General features: G+C 41.4%; 1 protein-coding gene across 57 annotated transcripts in view, besides 1 other annotated feature; it reads right to left on the bottom strand.

Moving 5' to 3' along the window:
* Positions 1–22,230, bottom strand: part of SPIDR (scaffold protein involved in DNA repair) — a 475,429-nt gene that overhangs the window by 91,640 nt on the left and 361,559 nt on the right. The window contains exon 11 of one of the 57 annotated variants that reach the window (NR_148202.1): positions 3,847–3,968. The exons of the other annotated variants lie outside the window; for them this stretch is intronic. The gene's annotated coding sequence lies outside the window, so the exon portion shown is untranslated. The remainder of the gene's footprint in view (positions 1–3,846; positions 3,969–22,230) is intronic. 57 annotated transcript variants of the gene reach the window in all.
* Positions 3,901–4,401: an enhancer, noted in NCBI's record as "H3K4me1 hESC enhancer chr8:48552828-48553328 (GRCh37/hg19 assembly coordinates)". NCBI's record gives its function as "activates a minimal SCP1, AML or CMV promoter by ChIP-STARR-seq in naive H9 embryonic stem cells {active_cell/tissue: H9 hESC(naive)}" and the evidence as "EXISTENCE:reporter gene assay evidence [ECO:0000049][PMID:30033119]".

The following is a 22,230-nucleotide window of genomic DNA, read 5'->3' as shown; positions in this document are numbered from 1 at the left end:
ATCTCATTAATATATCAATCACATAAGGAGATACCATCATAACCTCCATTTTACAAATGAGAAAAGTAAAGTATAAGGTAATTTGTCCAAGGTTACCTGGCTACAAACCAATTGAAAATGATCTTATTTACTTTATTCTGGAGAGCCGGCCCCTTGTCTGTTTTGTTCATTGCTCTATATTCCTAAACCCAACACGAGGAGGTGCTTCATAATTTTGTAATGCCTAGCAAGCACTCAGTAAATGAAGGTAACACGATTACGTCATCATCACAGAATGTGCCACATGAAACAACTTGCGTGATAGTGGGGCACAGCTGTGGGGCACAGCTAAGAAGGAGAGAGACCTGACATCAGCTTCCGTTCAGATTTATGCTGTGCTTGGCTGTCCTACCTAACCCTTCCTGCCAGGTATGCAAGTAAAGGGATGGCTGGGGAGGCAGAAAGTGGAGCCTGCAATCTCCAGGGCCCTTCTTCCTTGATAAACACCACAGGACTGGCTTGGCCATGTGGCTAAACTTGGGTGTGAGGTGGAGTGACTGCTAACGACCAGCCACCAGCACTCCATCTTCACAGCAGCCAGGATAGACTGAGGGTGGAATGCAGAGGTTCCAGGACAGACTGAGGGTACAGCCCGTAAGTTCCAGAAATGTAAACATCACACTCGAAGCCTCTGTTGATACTGTTTAAACAGTGTAGTTAAAAAGCATTTACATGTCACTAACTATATGAATGACCTCAAAAAGGTGTATCTACTTGAACAAAACATAACATAAAAAACCCAATCTCTAGTAATATTCTACAGTCATGATCAAATATAGCTGAATTTCTATTTCATGAGGGCAGGAATGAAAGTCTTTCCATTTTGAATAATACTGTTTATATTAAAGCTTTTGAATACACAGTTTAGGTTTTTCATGGCAAATGCTTTTTTGTGTATATAATATACATAGGAAATATTCCACTAATTATTGAGTTGCAGCTTTCTCTAAAATAGAAGTTGCGGTCAGGCACAATGGCTCACGCCTGTAATCCCAGAACTTTGGGAGGTCAAGGTGGGAGGATCACTTGAGCCTAGGAGTTTGAGAGCAGGCTGGGCAAGATGATGAAACCGTCTCTAGAAAACAACAACAACAACAACAACAACAACAACACTAGCCAGGTGTGGTGATATGTGCCTTAAGTCCCAGCTACTCTGGAGGCTGAGGTGGGAGGATTGTTTGAGCATGGGAGACTAAGGCTGCAGTGAGCTGTGACTGCACCACTGCACTCCAGCCTGGGTAAGAGAGGAAGACTGTCTCAAAACAAACAAATAAAAAATTAAAATAAATAAAATAGAAGTTGCAGTTATAGAAGTATGGCAAATACTACAGAATGCAGACTAGAAGGTAAAGAGTTATACCTATTAGTCATCTGAATATTAAAATTTTCAGACTTTAGATATGGACTGAATTTGACTTACAATACATTCAGTTAAAAAAAAAGCATCCCACAGTTGTGTAAGTATTATTCATGTTTTAAGGCCTTTATAAACCTCAACAGTTATCTAGGTATAAGATGTTAGCTGAGAAGACTAAATATACTAACAATGATTTTCAATGCAGTAGAACAAAGTAGAACCAACTAAAATAATCCAGATTCAATCAATAACAGTCCATATGCTAGAATCCATATGTATGATTAAGATCTTCATAATTTCCCAAATTTGCAAAAATTTGCAATATTTGTACATGTTCCTGCCTTCTATCAAATCCCATTGTTTTTCCATTTATTTATTTATTTAGAGACAGGGTCTCACTCTGCTGCCATCATGGCTCACTGCAGCCTTGAGCTCCTGGCCTCAAACGATCCTCTTGCCTCAGCCTCTCAAGTAGCTAAGACTACAGGCGTGCACCATCATGCCCAGCTAATTTTTAAATTTTTAGTAGAGACGGGGTCTCACTTTGTTGCCCAGGCTGGTCTCAGACTCCTGGCTTCAAGCAATCCTCCTGCCTCCCAAAGTGCCGGGATTAAAGGGATAAATCACCGTGGCCAGTCCACAGTTGCTTTTCAACCTTCCCTAAAGTTTCCTCTTTTATTGGTGAGCTTTCTTGCATACGAAAAACATTAACACTTTAGAAGAGTTTATGACAGGTCCCAAAGAAGTCAGCGGGCTGTCTTGACCTATAAATGCTGAGCCTCAGAGTGCGGGTTCACTCACTGGCCTCACATAGCAAGCACATGTCGAATTCTTTTTCTTTTTTTTTTTTTTTTTGAGACGGAGTCTCGCTCTGTCGCCCAGGCTGGAGTGCAGTGGCACGATCTTGGCTCACAGCAACCTCCACCTCCTGGGTTCACACCATTCACCTGCCTCAGCCTCCCGAGTAGCTGGGACTACAGGCGCCCACCACCACACCCGGCTAACTTTTGTATTTTTAGTTTAGTTTTACCGTGTTAGCCAGGATGGTCTTGATCTCCTTACTTCGTGATCCGCCTGCCTCGGCCTCCCAAAGTGCTGGGATTACAGGTGTCTGCCACTGTGCCCAGCCACATGTCGAATTCTTGACCCATAAAGTCACTGCTCCATACACACAGTGGCCACCTTCACAGCATCCTCAACCAAGGCCTTCAATGCAAATCCTTGAATGCCAGGGCTGCTCCCACACGTGCGCAGAGTCCACTCTGGCTGGAATACCATGCCAGGGCCCGAGGCTCTGCACAGCTCTGCTGCCACTGTGAGTCCCCATTAGGATGTAAGTAGGTGAAGCCTACCTTCCCAGAGTGCTGGCTTTCTTTCCTCTGCCCAGCTGCTGGCAGGTATTCCATCTCAGTTCACCACTGAGCACCCAGAAGTTTAGGGAATTCAATGTCGTCTCAACCAGTTCTTACACATGGTGGGCTGGGTAAGATGCAGCAGTCAGCTGGGCTTCTATGTCAGGCAGTAAGTGGCCAAGTTTCCCTGCTTCAGTTGGTCCATCCCTTGAGTGTTCATCCTCCTCCCTTGAGAGGCTGCAGGGGAGCCCAGCAGCACTCCAGCCACATGTGGCATTCCTTCATGCTTGTGTTAGTACCACTACCTTTTACTTAAATTTCAAGAACTGTTAAAGCTTAGCATTATTACTTTAAGCACTTACTACTCACTATCATTAAACATATATTTGTAATGGCCATACTGTTTTAAAACGTCTCATCTATAGTAGGCACTCTACTAAGTAAATGCATCGAATTGAATCTTGCTTGAGATATAAAGCAGGAATGAATCTATAACAAATCTTACATCACAGAAATAAAAAATATTCAAAAATAACACAAGTTCATGCTTGGATATAGCAAGTAGTACAGAGAAAAGTCAAAATTGATTAGTCTGGCTGGGCACAGTGGCTCACACCTGTATCACCAGTGCTTTGGGAGGCCAAGGCTGGAGTATGGCTTGAGGACAGGGGTTGGAGGGTGCCGTAAGCTATGATCATGTCACTGCACTCCAGTCTGCGTGACAGTGAGATCCTGTCTCTAAATAAAATTAAATTAAAAATTACCTAGTCTTATTTAATTTCTTAGTGTTTGCAATATCTATTTGCATTAACATTTGCTTATTTAAAAACATTTTAAAGTGTACCTCAAATATGCATACCCTTTTTCAGCATCTAATTAAAAATTTCCTTTTAAAAATCACAGCTCAGCCAGGCGCAGTGGCTCCCGCCTGTAATCCTAGCGCTTTGGGAGGCCGAGATGGGCAGATTGCCTCAGCTCAGGAGTTCGAGACCAGCCTGGGCAACACGGTGAAACCCCGTCTCTACCAAAATACAAAAAAAAAAAAAAAAAAAAAAAAAAAAAAAAAAAAAAAAAAAAGCTGGGTGTGGCAGTGTGTACCTGTAGTTCCAGCTACTTGGGAGGCTGAGGCAGGAGAACTGCTTGAACCCAGGAAGTGGAGGTTGCAGAGAGCTGAGATCGTGCCACTGCACTCCAGCCTGGGCGATAGAGCGAGGCTCCGTCTCAAAAACAACAACAACAAAAAACAAACAAAAAATCACAGTTCAATGGTTGTAGTCCATAGCATAAAATTTTATACTTTTCATACTTACTACCAAGTAATACATATAAAAATATTTGGACTTTGAATTCTTTTAGAAAGATAGAACATTAAGTTAAAGGACAAAACATTTTTTCCTCACGCCACCCTCTCTCTTTTTATATGCTACATTCTACAGCTAATGGCATTCTAAAATGAAATTTTAGGACTGTGGGACTTTGTTGTTATTGTCTGCTTTGATCATATGTTTTTACTTCTCTCTTCCTAAGAGTTCTTTCTAACTCTTTTGGTGGGTACGAAGGAGTCCAATCGCCTTCTATGGGCCTTCCTAACTCCAGAGGCCGGTCAGCAAACTCTACCCAACTCAGGTTCCCCTGTGACTTGGGACCTGTCAATCAGAGCAGAGGGCCTAACTGTGCTACTTCTGCCAGCAGGCATAACATTAACAAAAGATCTCAGGGTGTTGGCCAATAGCTCTGCAGCATTAAATGGCAGGAATGGGGCATCCAGTGTGTTGATTCAGCTTGCAGCCCACACTAAGTGGTTCGAAAGCTGGAAGGCAACAGCTCTGGGGGTCATGCAGTTCCCTGCTGTCGGCTGTGGCTCTGGGGATGCACGTGAGCTGACTTGCCATATTTCTGGTTGTACTAATAGAAGAGGCAGCAGCTTCCATGGCAGTATTGCTTAAAAGCCACTTAAAATCCATTAATAAATCTCTCTTTTTTTTTTTTTGTCACCCAGGCTGGAGTGCAATGGTGCGATCTCGGCTTACTACAACCTCTGCCTCCGGGTTCAAGCGATTCTCCTGCCTCGGCCTCCCGTGTAGCTGGGACTACAGATGTGCAACATCAAGCCCGGCTAATTTTTGTATTTTTAGTAGAGATGGGGTTTCACCATGTTTGCCTGGCTGGTCTTGAACTCCTGACCTCAAGTGACCCACCCGCCTCGGCCTCCCAGAGTGCTGGGATAACAGGCGCGAGCCACTGCACCTGGCCAATAAATCTCCTTCTGTTTAAGTTGGATAGAAAAGATTCATCACTGGGCCTGAAACATTCAATATGTAGTCGAATATGAAGATTCCACATCTAATATTTGATACGTGGAAGTGAAGTTATAGGGTAAAGGAACGCCATACACTCTTCCCTAGATAAATCAACAACTACAACTAAAAGTCAAAAACAAAATCATGAACAAATCCAACAATTTTGTGTCCACTTTTGTCCAGAAATAATGTATCTCTCTGAGAGACAAGTGAAATAAGGAGTGAACCATTTCACTTACCTAGTCTAGAAATCCCTAGAGAGCAGACTTAATTAATTTGCTGCACTGAGGTATTTTAATATATATTCATTGTTATGACTTATGCAACAAAACACTTTTTATAATGTGTGAAGAACTACAGAACTTCTCCATGGGAGCCACACATACAACAAAGGAGCACACGTGGACGATTCCACCTTCCCTCCCATGTACTGTTAGTGTCATTTCACCAAAGACAACCATAACTAGAACACTCCTTAGCTAGCATACCAAACTTTTATAAAAACAGAAATTCTGAGGCTAAAAGAAAGCTTTTACTATTTGACAATTGGTAGTTAAAATACCTAGTTCCTATCTAGCCAAACAATATTTTAAGAAGTATTTGAGAATGCACATTCTTTCAATACCATCATCACAGATCACAGAAACCATGGTATCTAGGCACCAGAGACTCATAAAAAGAATGGTAAATCATTCAGAGAGCCTTATTTTGAATAGGAACCGTTCATGCCGATGATATCCTGAAATGATTTAGAGTATGTGATAATGCTGGCATGTAGTTAAGAAGCCTGGAGAGGAGATAAAGGAAAAGTGAGGCCCACCAGGGATCTGGAATGGCACAGGGAGTTACTGAGGCTGACAGAAATTCTCACACTATCTCCTCCAGAAATACTTCAGGAAGGCAGTAAATGATAAAAGTATTGTCTATGGAGATAGGATACCAGTGATACTGAAAAATGAGCGACAGGAAAGAAATAGCAAATTAGTAAACAACTAAATAAAGTCTATCTATAGAACAGTTTTGAGAAAAGGATCTTTTCCTGGGGCTATAGAAGCTCTCCCAGTAGCAAGAGGTACATATCAAACATTCCACAACCGAGCATTCATACTTCTAAAGCCTCTATCTGGCCATGACTACCAATGCTAGTATCAACTCTATGCAATAAAATGCATTTGGGCCGGGTATGGTGGCTCACGCCTGTAATCCCAGCACTTTGGGAGGCTGAGGGAAGGGAATCACCTGAGTTCAGGAGTCTGAGACCAGCCTGGGCAATAGTGAGACCCTGTCTCTTTTTTAAATAAATAAATAAATTGCACTTGTATTTCCTTCATCTTCTTGTACCTCTTGGTATCTAATACCATTCTTGAAAAAAAGGAGCCAGGTCTCCTTGGAAAAATGGCTGATTCCAGGATGAAGGCAGAAAATATACAAGATAAGCCTAGCACATCTTACAGTGACAGGGAGTAAAGAAGTACTCAAAACAAAACAAAACAGAACACTCAAAATTATGGGAGTATATCAAAGGGATACAGATATCAATTGAAATAACTCCAAGGGAAAAAAACTGGAACAATGTGAACAACAAAATAAATAAAATAGTATTGGATTATAACTCAAAGTGTAAAATAAATATGTACAAGTCCATAGTGATATAAATAATTGAAAAAAAAAGTAGAGAAGAGACAAATCTCACATGCAGAGGAATTCCAAACAACTGCTCCACCATCAAACAAGGGGATTGGAGCTCTCTGTTCCTTAGGTGTGCATTGTGCATGATGGCTTCCTTCCAAAGACTTTAGGATGGAAAGGAGGAAAAAGTACAGTAACTTCATAGTGCAGAAACCTGACAAGTACTACCTCAGGGAGGTGATCAAGGTCAGTATCAACAGCAGGAACTCATGTTGACAGAGTGTACACTGGATACGACATGATGAAAACTGTACTTTATCCTGTGGTTTTCCTCCTAAGAACACGTAACTCACATAACTCCAATCTCATCATATGTAATAAATCAGACAAATTCCAGTTAAGGAGATTTTTTTCTTTTTTGAGAGCACGTCTTGCTCTGTCGCCCAGGCTTGAGTGCAGTGGTACCATCTCGGCTCATTGCAACCTCTGCCTCCTGGGTTTAAGCAATTCTCCCACCTCAGCCTCCCGAGTAGCTGGGACTGCAGGTGCGTGCCACCATGCCCAGCTAATTTTTGTATTTTTAGTAGAGAAGGGATTTCACCATGTTGGCCAGGCTGGTCTTGAACTGTGGGCCTCAAGTGATCCATCCACCTTGGCCTCCCAAAGTGCTGGGATTGCAGGCGTAAGCCACCGCATTGGGCACAGTTAAGGACATTCTACAAAATACCTAACACTCCTCAAAACTGTTAAAGTCATAAAAGAGAAGTCTCAAAAGTTGTGACAGCCAAGAGGAGCCTGAGGAGACATGGCAACTGAGTATAATGTGGTGTCCTGAATGGGATCCTGGAGCATAATTAGGTAACACTAGGTAAACACTAAGGAAATGCGAATAAAGTACATACTTTAGTTAATTAAAAAATCACATCTATGTGCTTTCCAAAAGTAGAATATATTTGTGTTGGACATACTATTTGAGTCTACGAAGACAATGGTGAATGTCTGTCAATTCCAGGACCCCTCACCCTCCTGCCAAGGCTCCTGGTTGAGATTTGGTAATCAATACCCTCAGAAGGAACAGTACTCTCACGACAGGCATGATTATCTTACTGTTCTGTCACTAGTAAATGTTTCCAAATAGCTGCAATTTTAGACAATCTCTTTTTTTTTTTTTTTTGAGATAGGGTCTTGCTCTGTTGCTTAGGCTGGAGTGCAGTGGTACGATCATGGCTCGCTGCAGCCTTGAACTCCCAGGCTCAAGTGATCCTTCCACCTCAGCTTCCCAAGTAGCAGGGACTACAGGCACTACACTACACCTGGCTAATTATTTTTTTCTTAGAGATGTGGGCTCACTATGTTGCCCAGGCTGGTCTCGAACTCCTGGGCTCAAGTGATCCTCCAGCCTCGGCCTCCCAAAGTGCTGGGATTACAGGCATGAGCCACCGCGCCTGGCCAACTTGGCTGTTTAATGCAAAGGTCTAGCTTTTGATCTGTCTTGGCTTTTGCCATGCCTTCCCCACTAAGCTTAATCACTTCCAGTTTTTTATTTACAGTGAGAGATGTGCAACTCTTCCTTTCATCTGAACACTTCGAGGCCACTGGAGGCTTACTGACTTCTCTAATTTCAATATTGTTGTGTTTCAGGGAATAGGGAGGTCACAAAAGAGGGAAAGAGATGGAGGAACAGCCAGTTAGTAGAGGAGCCAGAACACACACATTTGCTGATTAAATTTGGCATCCAATATAGGTGTGGTTGGTGGTGTCCTGAAACAATTACAATACCAACATAAAAGATCACTGATCACAGATCATCATAACAGATAATAATAATGAAGGGATTTGAAATATTATGAGAATTGCCAAAATGTGATAGAGACATGAGGTGAACACATGCTGTTGGAAAAATGATACTGATAGAACTGCTTGATGCAGGGTTGCCACAAGCCCTCAAGTAGTAAATAAATGCTCTATCTGCAAAGTGCAGTAAAGTGAAGCATAATAAAGTGAGCCATGCCTGTATAGCATTCACAAATTACTGCAAAGCTTTTCTGACTAAAGTTCTCTACATATAAGGAAATAGTTACCTTTGTGGGTGGGTCTCCTTATCCAAGGCTACACAGAAAGCCAACATGTATGTCTGCCCAATTTTCACCCACTGGGAAGCAGGTAAGCATGTCAGCTTTCTCCTTCCTCCCAGAGGTCAGAAGCACCTTCACCCAAATATCCTCTTCTTAGGGTAATCTGTTCTTTTTTAATTTTTTTTTTAGAGACAGGGTCTTGCTATGTTGCCCCAGCTGGAGTGCACTGCCTATTCATAGGCATGATCATAGCATACCACAGACTCAAACTCTTGCTTCAAGTGATTCTCTGACCTCAGCCTCCTGATAGATGGGACTACAGGTGCCACTGCGCCTGGCCAGGGCAATCTGTTTTTTGATGCTTGGTTATAGTTCTTCCACAGTTTATTTATTTTTTTTAAATTTTGAGGGTACATAGTACGTGTATATATTTATGGGGGTACAAGAGATATTTTGATACAGGCATACAACACTTAATCACATCAGGGTAGATGGGGTATCCCTCAAGCATTTATCCTTTCATTGTTTTACAAATAAGCCAATTTAATCTTTTAGTTATTTTATTTTATTTTTTTGAGACAGTCACTCTGTCACCCAGGCTGGAGAGGAGTGGCATAATCTCGGCTCACTGCAACCTCCACCTCCCAGGTTCAAGCGATTCTTGGGCCTCAGCCTCCCGAGTAGCTGGGATTATAGGCATGTGCCATCATGTCCAGCTAATTTTTGTATTTTTTTTTTTTAAGTAGAGACAGGGTTTCACCATGTTGGCGGCCTCCCACAGTGCTGTGATTATAGGTGTCAGCCACCGCACTCAGCCTATAACTATATCTTTATATCTTTGGACCCATTAACCATCTCCCTTTCCCCCAACCCACAGTTCTTTTAACTGACAACACAGCAAACTTTAGGACTCCATTTTCAAGAAAAGTGTTACTTGATCATACAAATGCTTTACTGGGGCCAGGTGATCGATCATTACAGCCAGATAAATGAGATGCACTGGTGAAATCTGGATGGTGAAAAACTTTCTCCAGCTGTTCAATTCTCCATTCATTTCTGTGGAGGCAGTACACTACAAAGCAGAAAACAAATGTTCTGTGGAAGCTAAGTCAGCAAAGGTTGCCTGGCCCAGGCGTGAGAGGATGGTGTGGGTACAGGCTCTGAGCCAGGGGAGTAGTTTGCACTGCTCAATGACAGCTCGCCCTCCCACTCAGCCATGGTGGGCAGGGGTACCACAGCCAGGCCTGGACCAGGTGAGCAGGGTGTCCTCTGGCTCTTGGGCAGTGCAGTGCATGACGCTAAAAAAACACAATGGCTTTAATGAACATCCTTACTAATTTCAGGGTCTCTATAGAGTGGAGGTTTTCCGCTGGAAGAATTCAGTGAGTCAGAATATTAAGTTTCCTTTCTCACTTTTGTATTTGGAAAAGTTCTTTTTTCATTTTTTTTTTTAATTTGTTTTTTGAGATGGATTCTTGCTCTGTCGCCCAGGCTTCTGGGCAGTGGCATGATCTCGGCTCACCACAACCTCTGCCTCCCGGGTTCAAGCAATTCTCTGCCTCAGCCTGCTGAGTAGCTGGGATTACAGGCACCCGCCACCATGCCTGGCTAATTTTTGTATTTTTAGTAGAGACGGGGTTTCACCATCTTGGCCAGGCTGGTCTTGAACTCTGACCTCGTGATCCATCCACCCTGGCCTCCCAAAGTGCTGGGATTACAGGCATGAGCCACCATGCCCGGCCCTTTTTTCGTTGTTTTTCAAAGTTGCATTGAGGATCTAACTAGACAGGAGTCACGGTAATTCTTTTTTTTTTTTTTTTGAGACAGGGTCTTACTCTGTCACGCAGGCTGGGGTGCAGTGGCACGATCTTGGCTCACTGCAGCCTCAATCTCCTAGGCTCAATCCATCCAACTGCCATCAGCCTCCAGAGTAGCTGGGACTATTGGCATGCACCACCACACTCAGCTACATTTTTGTATTTTTGGTAGAGATCAGGTTTTGCCATGTTGCTCAGGCTGGTTCTGAACCCCGGGCTCAAGCAATCTGCCCACCTCAGCCTCCCAAAGTGTTGAGATTACAGGCGAGAGCCACCACGCTCAGCCTCAAGGTTATTTTTAACTTATTAAGTTCATTATGCTTTTTTCAAGCCATAATACTGCCCTGTACTTTGAGTATACCTAATAAACATTAACTGAGGGTGATGAGGAATGCAGTCAGTAAACAGTATCTCCCACCCCCACTTCCTGAGTGTCTGCCCAGGTTGCCCATGTTGGTCTTGAACTCCTTACCTCAAGCAATCCTCTTGCCCTGGCCTCCCAAAGCCACCATGCTTGGTTTTTGTTTTTTTTTTTTTTTCAATCATTTGCATATCTAGTCTTCAAAAAGAAAAAACCTAAATCTTTCCATATCCTCTTATACACATCAGATGGCATGGCCTGGAGGTCCAACAGCAGCAGGTGAGAACATTCTCCTTGGTTCATGGTCCTGTTGCTTCTGCTGCCATCCCCCTCCTATAAAGAAGACTGTAGTCCTTTCCTGGCTACCCACACAGTCAACAAAAGCAGGAGGAGACAAGGAAACACTTCCTTGTCTTGACTTCCTTCCTTCATTAGAGTCTCAGATGACTGGCTTTTTGTTTATAAATATTTTCTAGACATAAAAAAATGCAAATAATATTAATTTGCCTAACTCCTGATTACAGACACTTATCATGACAGCCAGGTTTCTCACAAGTTAAGCTGACAGATAAATGCTCATGCCTCAAATGAAAGTATTACTTGTATTTTTCAATTCTGTACTAGTGGTAGTTTCCGTTAGAGTGAATGAGAATAATTGTTTTTATGCTGTTACCAGTGTTTCTAAATGGTCACTGTTCTACTGAGCACAGAATGTGAAATAAGTTGGATGCTACATTTATAGAGGCAAATTGCCTTATGCCCTTGTTGGCTTGAAGGTGCAGAGGCAGACAGACCTGGTTTCAAGTTCCAGCTCAGCCTGGGAGCTTCCGCTGCAGGCCCCTTGGCTGATTCCTCTGAGCAATGGGGAACTCACCCACCCTTGGAGATACTGTCCTCTCCAGAACTGCTGTGCAGCGTGCCCCTGAAAGGCCAGCTACTGCTCGGAGATTTTGTGTGCTTTATTCATTAGTTCCTCAAAAAAACAAAAAACAAAAAAACAAGACTAAACAAAAGACAAAAAACAGGCACTTGGGATCTTGCAGTTTCTCAACCAAGCTGCCTTCTTTTCCCCTGAGTATGTAAAGTCAAACTGAAATGCTGTGCAGTGGGAATGAGGACCATTAGAGTTTGCCGACATTCTTTGGCTAAGAGCAAAAAAAAGTTTTATGATTTCAATTTAAAATAAATATTATAAAACAGACTAGAAGATAATATGTAAAATAATTATACTGGGAGTAGAAGTAAAATAATTTTTCTATTTTTGCAAATTTTGAAACCTATAATGGTACTTAAAATTACATGAAAAATACTAATGAACCAGGCTGTCACATTATTTTATGCACAAGATGGGCTGTGAGTGCAGTGAAAGGGTGTGATGTTGAGCAATGTTGCTTGCATTTTGCATTTTGCCAAGCCTAGCCCAGGCCTGGGTACCATGTGTTAACTCTCAAATTTCAGAGTAGGCGAAACTTTGCAGTTTGCTTGAAGAAGATGAAATGGTAGTTCAACTCGGTATTTCACTCTCAGTAGGGTGAACCACAGTACAGCACATGTCGTGATTAAATTAAAACGTAAATATTTTTTGTAGTACATAATGAAAAAGGTTGTGAAGAACATGCTTCCTAGCCACCCTTCCCCCTGCCATTTCTCTAAAAATAGTCCATTCCAGAGGATTTAACTGAAAATATGCTGCATTTGGGTGCTGGGGAGGGGGATGTGTGTGCAGAATTCTCTTTTACATCTGTGACTCCTGCAAAAATATCTGGCAGTACATTCAGTTCTATGTCTTCAAGCCTCTCAGGGCCAATTTAAAATATTATTATAAATGCTCATAGTTATCATCACCTAACTGATCTAAAGCAATAAAACAGTTGGCCTTTTGGTTTTCTCAGACCATCCCGAGGTAAGGGCTGAATTCTCAATGTTGGTCTCATTAGAAAGACTTAATTTGTTAGAAAGTAAATTTCATTATAAATTAAGGAGCTGTATTTCACTGGCCTTCCAGAAAACAAACTACCATTGTAATTTGTATGTTGATTCTCTGAATTTCTGGTGAACAGTGACTTTGAAGAGTCAAATAAGAATTCTTTATCAACTCTTCCTTCCTCTTTTATATGTCCCAAATAAATAAAATCCAAATCTGTTTTAGAGACACACATTTCCTCTTTCACCATTTTCTCTGATAAATTTATTGTGATGAATCATAAATCCAGTACTTTTCTGTGTTGCTTTTTAGTTTGAACATATTCAGTAATATTTGTGTGGTTTTAGAATTCATTTATTAATGCATGCCATATGCAACCACCAGGAGGTAAGACCCAGTTGACTGTCAACAAAAGCCTCAGCTCTTACTTTGAAGAACTATAAATTGACCCTAAGACAGATTTTTCTAAAAACCTATTGTTATAACCGAGGGCACAGAGAATGCAAAGTCTTCAACTAAAGACTGCAATCTTTCTTTTCCCCATGGTTACAAAGCCTTGGGGCAGTCACAAGTTTGGGTCTAGGGTGCCCGTCTGCCCACTTCAGAGTCAGAGGATCCATGGGTTGCATGAGGCAGGGCAGAGACTTGGAAAGAGAAAGGGCTTATTTTCTGCCTCTACCATCCAGTGCCTATGTGACCTTTGGGAGTGGTCAGAGATGAGGGCCTCAGCCTCTTCATCGCTGTCTCTCTCCGTCCCTCCCTCCGACGCCCTCATCCTGGCCTCTGCCTGCCTCTTCCCTCAGGGTGCTGGGGGCTGTTGTTGAGTTCTTGTTCTCACAGTCTGTAGGTTGCCCTTTAAGAAGGCCTGGGATTCCGTGTTACAGGGGTACTGTGCCTTCTGCCCCATGGTTGTAGCTTTTACTTTCTTGAGTCAACAGGGCATAATAAATGGATGTGGTCTATATCCCATGTGAACAAGAACCAGGAACGTCGGATCAGCCATACAGGTGCATGGGAAGACCATAGGGGGCTATAGGTCACGTGGTATTTTCTGAGTAAAGAGTTACAACATTTGACCTATGCACACCTGTAAAGGCTGGGATGACAGCCAAGGCCAATGTGTGGGTAACTGAGACAAGCTACAGGTCCTCTTAAGTCCTATTGCCCTGGAAAGGCCAACTACGCTTCTCAGAAGGCAGTTTCAGATCACCCAGGATGGATGTAGGGAACTGCATCTGTTATGTGGACAGTAAACAGTAGTATTTATAGCAATGGAAAGTTCTAGGGCAAAGCACTTCACACATTTCTTTAACACTCTAAAACAATGTATATAAAGTATATTATTCTGTCCACTCAGTACTGGGAAAACTGAAGCTCAGAGCAATTAAGTAAGTTGCCCCAGGTCACAAACCTGTAGAGACCAGAGCTGGCACCGGAATTTTGAGCTTTTGATGACAAATCCTGGATGCTTTTCCACTCCTCTCTACTGCTCTTTTCAACGTTTACATTAAATATTGCTTTCATCATATTTTACATGTTTTTCCTTCTGAGGCTCTTCTATTTTCCCCAGTATTCCTTCTTTCACTTGTGAACAATAAATTCTCCTATAAGGGTTTTAATTTTTACTTTATCTTGGTTCAAAAATTCAATTTGCTACGTGTATTATTTTGTAATTTAACATATTTGAGACAAAGTATGGTGAGAAAACTTGACATTTCAAAATGTCACATCATTTTACCTCATGTGACAGAAGCTATTTTATCTAAAAATTAACATATGAATACATTCAGCACTGTAATTTTACATTTTTTCTGCATATAGTTCAAAATATATAAGTACATATTTGTACCTTCAAGTATTATTTTGATGTGCAGTATGGGAACTTGGAACTATAGTAAAAAAGTGGCTGAAAATTCCCTTTTATCCCTTTAAGAAAAGTCAAGGGAAATACCAGACATAAAGAAATTTACCTATTTATATAGATTAGAGGTTGGCAAATTATGGCCTGTGGGCCAAATTTTGCCTGTCCCCGATTTTTATACATAAAGTTTCTTTTTTTGAGACAGAGTATCGTTCTGTCACCCAGGCTGGAGTGCAGTAGCACGATCTCGGCTCACTGCAACCTCCACCTCTCCTAGGTTCAATGGTTCTCTTGCTTCAGCCTCCTGAGTAGCTGGGATTACAGGTTCATGCCGCCACACCCAGCTAATTTTTGTATCTTTAGTAGAGAAGGGGCTTCACTATGTTGGCCAGGCTGGTCTCGAACTCCTGACCTCAGGTGATCCACCTGCCTCGGCCTCCCAAAGTGTTGGGATTACAGGCATGAGCCACCACACCTGGCCCTTTGTACCTAAAGTTCTACTGGCACACAGCCACATCCATCTATCTAGATATTATTGTCTGCGGCTGCTTTCAGTGTTTCAGACTGATGCTTTCAGACTGTGGTATGGCCCGCCAAGCCTAAAATAATATGCTTGCCAATACCTGCTATGTATAAATAAAATAAAACCCCCAAAACCCAGACCTACTGGGTGTCCAGCATCTCATCTTTGTTATCTCACTTAATCTACTAAACAATCTCCTGTGAGGTGGATGACAATTGTGTCCCTACTACCATCCTAACACATATGATTACTAAACTCCTAATACTGTCTACCCTATTCTAGGGGAAAAGACAGCATCAGGAAGAATCAAACGAAACTTTTCCTTAAGTCATCTAGCTAAACTGTGAGAGATGCCTGCATCTCTTCAAACAGCTGCTGTGACCCTTAAAGGGAGAATCTCAGTCCTTATATTTTTACAACTTAATCATTTAGCACTTTTCAAAGGCCCTAAACTCATTTTTGCAAATAAATTAAGTTTAAATGGAGGATACATTTTCAATGAGACTGATCCAGAAAGTAGCTGAGCCCTACAGATTTTCAGCTACTTGAGAATATTGGCTAAGTTGGTTTATACTTTAATCCCAAAACAAGCCACACCAAAAAACCAACAAACATTCTCCATTCGATGTTTTTTATCTCCCATTTCCATTTTGTTAGACAGAAGTCAGTATATGTGTATTCATGATACACAGGTTGACTATTCCCTACCCAAATTGCTTGGGACAGGAGTTTTTTTTCAGATTTGAAATATTTGCATAGACATAATAAGATATCTTGGGGATGGGACCCAAGTCTAAACATGACATTCATTTATGTTTCATATATTCCTTATACAGATAGCCTGAAGGTAATTTTATGCATTTTATTTTTATTTTAAATTATTTTATACATGAAACAAAGTTGTGTACACTGACTCATAAGAAAGAAAAGGTGTCACTATTTCAGCCACTCATGCTGGTGCTCAACAAGTTTTGGCTTAGGGATGCTCAACTTATATTAATGTATCCTAAACTAATGATTCTTAAAATTGTTAATTTTTGCCTTTAGTCAGAATTCTACCCATGAAAACATGGAACAATTCTGTTGAACTTTGTCAGAAATGGTTGGTTAAATTATTCTCTATCCCCATAAGATGATGATTCCTTGCTGTTACTGGAGGAAAAACAACCTTCTCTAACCAATTTTTAAAACACCATGGGGAAAACATCCCAAGTAGCCAAAATTTAGCTTTCTTTAAAAGCATTATCTCAGGAAGCATGTTCTGTGGAAGGATGGCTAGTTTAATAGGGAAAGCCATCTATATTTTTGAGTCTCTCGTTTGTTTTTAAGGATGGATCTGAATAGCACCTAGGGAGTTCCTGCATTTTAAGGAAGCCATTCTAAATCACATCCCATGACAGAATGAGTGAGTTCATGTAAACACAGTCAGTGGTATCATGAGTAACAAAATCTGTTTTCATCAGAAGCCCTTCATCCTGCGTAAGAGACCTGTGCACTACCAGGCAGCCCAGGCTAATGTTAACCAGTTCCAGCTGGTCCGCTGCTATAAAAAGAACTAATGAAAACACAAATGCTAACTTCTCCATTCCACTCCGGCCAGTACGTCAAGGCTGCACAAAGACAGCCCTTTCCAAATGCTCTCAGTGAATGAACCGGCGGGTCTGGTTCTCTAAACTTGTTTACTGAACAGAGTGTGCAGGGGACTCGCTGAGCACCGATGGGGGTGCTGGGGGCCAGGGAGGGGGGAGGAATCACATGATCTGTCAGTGCACAAAGCCAAATTTCCCGTTTGGATTTAGTTCTATAACACATAGAAGGAAGAGAAAGTTTTCAAAAGCAGAGACAGAGTATCCTGAGCAATTTCTTAAACACATACACACACTTAGGGTACTTTGGTTTTCGTATGAAAATATATATCACAGATAAATTAATGCCTTATCAAATATTCAAAATTCTTAAGTAAAGGGAAACATTTTTTTTGTGACATCAGAAATTCCTACTAGCGGTAAATCATTTCTTTTTTTTTAAATTTTTATTATTATTATACTTTAAGTTTTAGGGTACATGTGCACAACGTGCAGGTTTGTTACATATGTATACATGTGCCATGTTGCTGTGCTGCACCCATTAACTTGTCATTTAGCATTAGGTATATCTCCTAATGCTATCCCTCCCCGCTCCCGCCACCCCACAACAGTCCCCAGAGTGTGATCTTCCCCTTCCTGTGTCCATGTATTCTCATTGTTCAATTCCCACCTATGAGTGAGAACATGCGGTGTTCGGTTTTTTGTCCTTGTGATAGTTTGCTGAGAATGATGGTTTCCACCTTCATCCATGTCCCTACAAAGGACGTGAACTCATCATTTTTTATGGCTGCATAGTATTCCATGGTGTATATGTGCCACATTTGCTTAATCCAGTCTATCGCTGTTGGACATATGGGTTGGTTCCTGGTCTTTGCTATTGTGAATAGTGCCACAATAAACATACGTGTGCATGTGTCTTTATAGCAGCATGATTTATAATCCTTTGGGTATATACCCAGTAATGGGATGGCTGGGTCAAATGGTATTTCTAGTTCTAGATCCCTGAGGAATCGCCACACTGACTTCCACAATGGTTGAACTAGTTTACAGTCCCACCAACAGTGTAAAAGTGTTCCTATTTCTCCACATCCTCCCCAGCACCTGTTGTTTCCTGACTTTTTAATGATTGCCATTCTAACTGGCATGAGATGGTATCTCATTGTGGTTTTGATTTGCATTTCTCTGATGGCCAGTGACGATGAGCATTTTTTCATGTGTTTTCTGGCTGCATAAATGTCTTCTTTTGAGAGTGTCTGTTCATATCCTTCGCCCATTTGTTGATGGGGTTGTTTGTTTTTTTCTTGTAAATTTGTTTGAGTTCATTGTAGATTCTGGATATTAGCCCTTTGTCAGATGAGTAGGTTGTGAAAATTTCCTCCCGTTCTGTAGGTTGCCTGTTCACTCTGATGGTAGTTTCTTTTGCTGTGCAGAAGCTCTTTAGTTTAATTAGATCCCATTTGTTAATTTTGGCTTTTGTTGCCATTGCTTTGGGTGTTTTAGTCATGGAGTCCTTGCCCATGCCTATCTCCTGAATGGTATTGCCTAGGTTTTCTTCTAGGGTTTTTATGGTTTTAGGTCTAACATGTAAGTCTTTAATCCATCTTGAATTAATTTGTGTATAAGGTGTAAGGAAGGTATCCAGTTTCAGCTTTCTACATATGGCTAGCCAGTTTTCCCAGCACCATTTATTAAATAGGGAATCCTTTCCCCATTGCTTGTTTTTCTCAGGTTTGTCAAAGATCAGATAGTTGTAGATATGCGGCATTATTTCTGAGGGCTCTGTTCTGTTCCATTGGTCTATATCTCTGTTTTGGTACCAGTACCATGCTGTTTTGGTTACTGTAGCCTTGTAGTATAGTTTGAAGTCAGGTAGTGTGATACCTCCAGCTTTGTTCTTTTGGCTTAGGACTGACTTGGCAATGCGGGCTCTTTTTTGGTTCCATATGAACTTTCAAGTAGTTTTTTCCAATTCTGTGAAGAAAGTCACTGGTAGCTTGATGGGGATGGCACTGAATCTATAAATTACCTTGGGCAGTATGGCCATTTTCATGATATTGATTCTTCCTACCCATGAGCATGGAATGTTCTTCCATTTGTTTGTATCCTCTTTTATTTCATTGAGCAGTGGTTTGTAGTTCTCCTTGAAGAGGTCCTTCACGTCCCTTGTAAGTTGGATTCCTAGGTATTTTATTCTCTTTGAAGCAATTGTGAATGGGAGTTCACTCATGATTTGGCTCTCTGTTTGCCTGTTATTGGTGTATAAGAATGCTTGTGATTTTTGCACATTGATTTTGTATCCTGAGACTTTGCTGAAGTTGCTTATCAGCTTAAGGAGATTTTGGGCTGAAACAATGGGGTTTTCTAGATATGCAATCATGTCATCTGTAAACAGGGACAATTTGACTTCCTCTTTTCCTAACTGAATACCCTTTATTTCCTTCTCCTGCCTGACTGCCCTGGCCAGAACTTCCAACACTATGTTGAATAGGAGTGGTGAGAGAGGGCATCCCTGTCTTGTGCCAGTTTTCAAAGGAAATGCTTCCAGTTTTTGCCCATTCAGTATGATATTGGCTGTGGGTTTGCCATAGATAGCTCTTATTATTTTGAGGTACGTCTCATCAATACCTAATTTATTGAGAGTTTTTAGCATGAAGGTTGTTGAATTTTGTCAAAGGCCTTTTGTGCCTCTATTGAGATAATCATGTAGTTTTTGTCTTTGGTTCTGTTTATATGCTGGATTACATTTATTGATTTGTGTATGTTGAACCAGCCTTGCATCCCAGGGATGAAGCCCACTTGATCATGGTGGATAAGCTTTTTGAGGTGCTGCTGGATTCGATTTGCCAGTATTTTATTGAGGATTTTTGCATCAATGTTCATCAAGGACATTGGTCTAAAATTCTCTTTTTTGGTTGTGTCTCTGCCAGGCTTTGGTATCAGGATGATGCCGGCCTCATAAAATGAGTTAGGGAGGATTCCCTCTTTTTCTATTGATTGGAATAGTTTCAGAAGGAATGGTACCAGCTCCTCCTTGTACCTCTGGTAGAATTCGGCTTTGAATCCATATGGTCCTGGACTTTTTTTGGTTGGTAAGGTATTGATTATTGCCTCAATTTCAGAGCCTGTTATTGGTCTATTCAGAGATTCAACTTCTTCCTGGTTTAGTCTTGGGAGGATGTATGTGTCGAGGAATGTATCCATTTCTTCTAGATTTTCTAGTTTATTTGCGTAGAGGTGTTTATAGTATTCTCTGATGGTAGTTTGTATTTCTGTGGGATCGGTGGTGATATCCCCTTTATCATTTTTTATTGCGTCTCTTTGATTCTTCTCTCTTTTCTTCTTTATTAGTCTTGCTAGTGGTCTATCAATTTTGTTGATCTTTTCAAAAAACCAGGTCCTGGATTCATTAATTTTTTGAAGGGTTTTTTGTGTCTCTGTCTTCTTCAGTTCTGCTCTGATCTTAGTTATTTCTTGCCTTCTGCTAGCTTTTGAATGTGTTTGCTCTTGCTTTTCTAGTTCTTTTAATTGTGATGTTAGGGTGTCAATTTTAGATCTTTCCTGCTTTGTGTTGTGGGCATTTAGTGCTATCAATTTCCCTCTACACACTGCTTTGAATGTGTCCCAGAGATTCTGGTATGTTGTGTCTTTGTTCTCATTGGTTTCAAAGAACATCTTTATTTCTGCCTTCATTTCGTTATGTACCCAGTAGTCATTCAGGAGCAGGTTGTTCAGTTTCCATGTAGTTGAGCAGTTTTGAGTGACTTTCTTAATCCTGAGTTCTAGTTTGATTGCACTGTGGTCTGAGAGACAGTTTGTTATAATTTCTGTTCTTTTACATTTGCTGAGGAGTGCTTTACTTCCAACTATGTGGTCAATTTTGGAATAGGTGTGTTGTGGTGCTGAAAAGAATGTATATTCTGTTGATTTGGGATGGACAGTTCTGTAGATGTCTATTAGTTCCACTTGGTGCAGAGCTGAGTTCAATTCCTGAATATCCTTGTTAACTTTCTGTCTCGTTGATCTGTCTAATGTTGACAGTGGGGTGTTAAAGTCTCCCATTATTATTGTGTGGGAGTCTAAGTCTCTGTAAGTCACTCAGGACTTGCTTTATGAATCTGGGTGCTCCTGTATTGGGTGCATATATATTTCAGATAGTTAGTTCTTCTTGTTTAATTGATCCCTTTACCATTATGTAATGGCCTTCTTTGTCTCTTTTGATCTTTGTTGGTTTAAAGTCTGTTTTATCAGAGACTAGGATTGCAACCCCTGCCTTTTTCTGTTTTCCATTTGCTTGGTAGATCTTCCTCCATCCCTTCATTTTGGGCCTATATGTGTCTCTGCACGTGAGATGGGTTTCCTCAGTCTCAGCACACTGATGGGTCTTGACTCTTTATCCAATTTGCCAGTCTGTGTCTTTTAATTGGAGCATTTAGCCCATTTACATTCAAAGTTAATATCGTTATGTGTGAATTTGATCCTTTCATTATGATGTCAGCTGGCTATTTTGCTTGTTAGTTGATGCAGTTTCTTCCTAGCCTCGATGGTCTTTACAATTTGGCATGTTTTTGCAGTGGCTGGTACCAGATGTTCCTTTCCATGTTTAGTGCTTCCTTCAGGAACTCTTTTAGGGCAGGCCTGGTGGTGACAAAATCTCTCAGCATTTGCTTGTCTGTGGTAAATCATTTCTTATTCAGTGACTTACTTTACAAGAGGAGGCAATCTTATGATAAAGAGATGATCCTCATTTTAATTCTTTACATGGCTAAAAAACTCCAAGCTGTTAGTGCACTACAAGGTCCTGTGGCAATTTCTCTCATCTTCATCTCACAGATGGACAGACTAGGGCGTAGCGGATACTGAGACTGCTGTGGGCCACGCTGCTTAGTGGCAAAAAGAACATGGGTGTCCTGGCACTCACAAGTGTTTTTCTACTCCATCTCATTCTAGATGTGGCTAAGTGAACATGGCCAAGAATAAACCAAAGAGGGTGCCTGGATAATTTCATATTATGGGCTTGACCTAACCTAGCCTTTTAATGTATGAGGTTACTTGCAACGTCAACTGAAAATTTAGGGAGTTGACCTGACATTTTTTCATTTTCTTGAAGAGGCTCAAAGTGTGATTCAATTAGTTATCCTGGTGGATGAAAGGGTTTTCGCCTCATCCATGCAGGGCCGATGCTGTGCCTGGGACATTAATCTGTAGTACAGATGCTAACTCTCGAGTCACCCCCATCCTCCTGGGACGCCAGCCCCTACTTCCCATGACATCCTGTCATTAACTCCACCTTCTGTGCACCCCCTAGCTGGCTGTGAGGCTGCAGCAGGTGAGGCAGAGCACCAAAGGAGACCCGCGTCAGGTCAGCAGTGCCTGAGTATAGGCCTGACTCAGGCCGAGTCTTACCTC

The sequence above is a fragment of the Homo sapiens genome, chromosome 8 (assembly GCF_000001405.40).
Source record: "Homo sapiens chromosome 8, GRCh38.p14 Primary Assembly".
Lineage (NCBI taxonomy): Eukaryota > Metazoa > Chordata > Mammalia > Primates > Hominidae > Homo > Homo sapiens.
The sequence above is the reverse complement of the archived record's forward strand: the minus strand, read 5'-3'. Positions and strand labels throughout refer to the sequence as shown.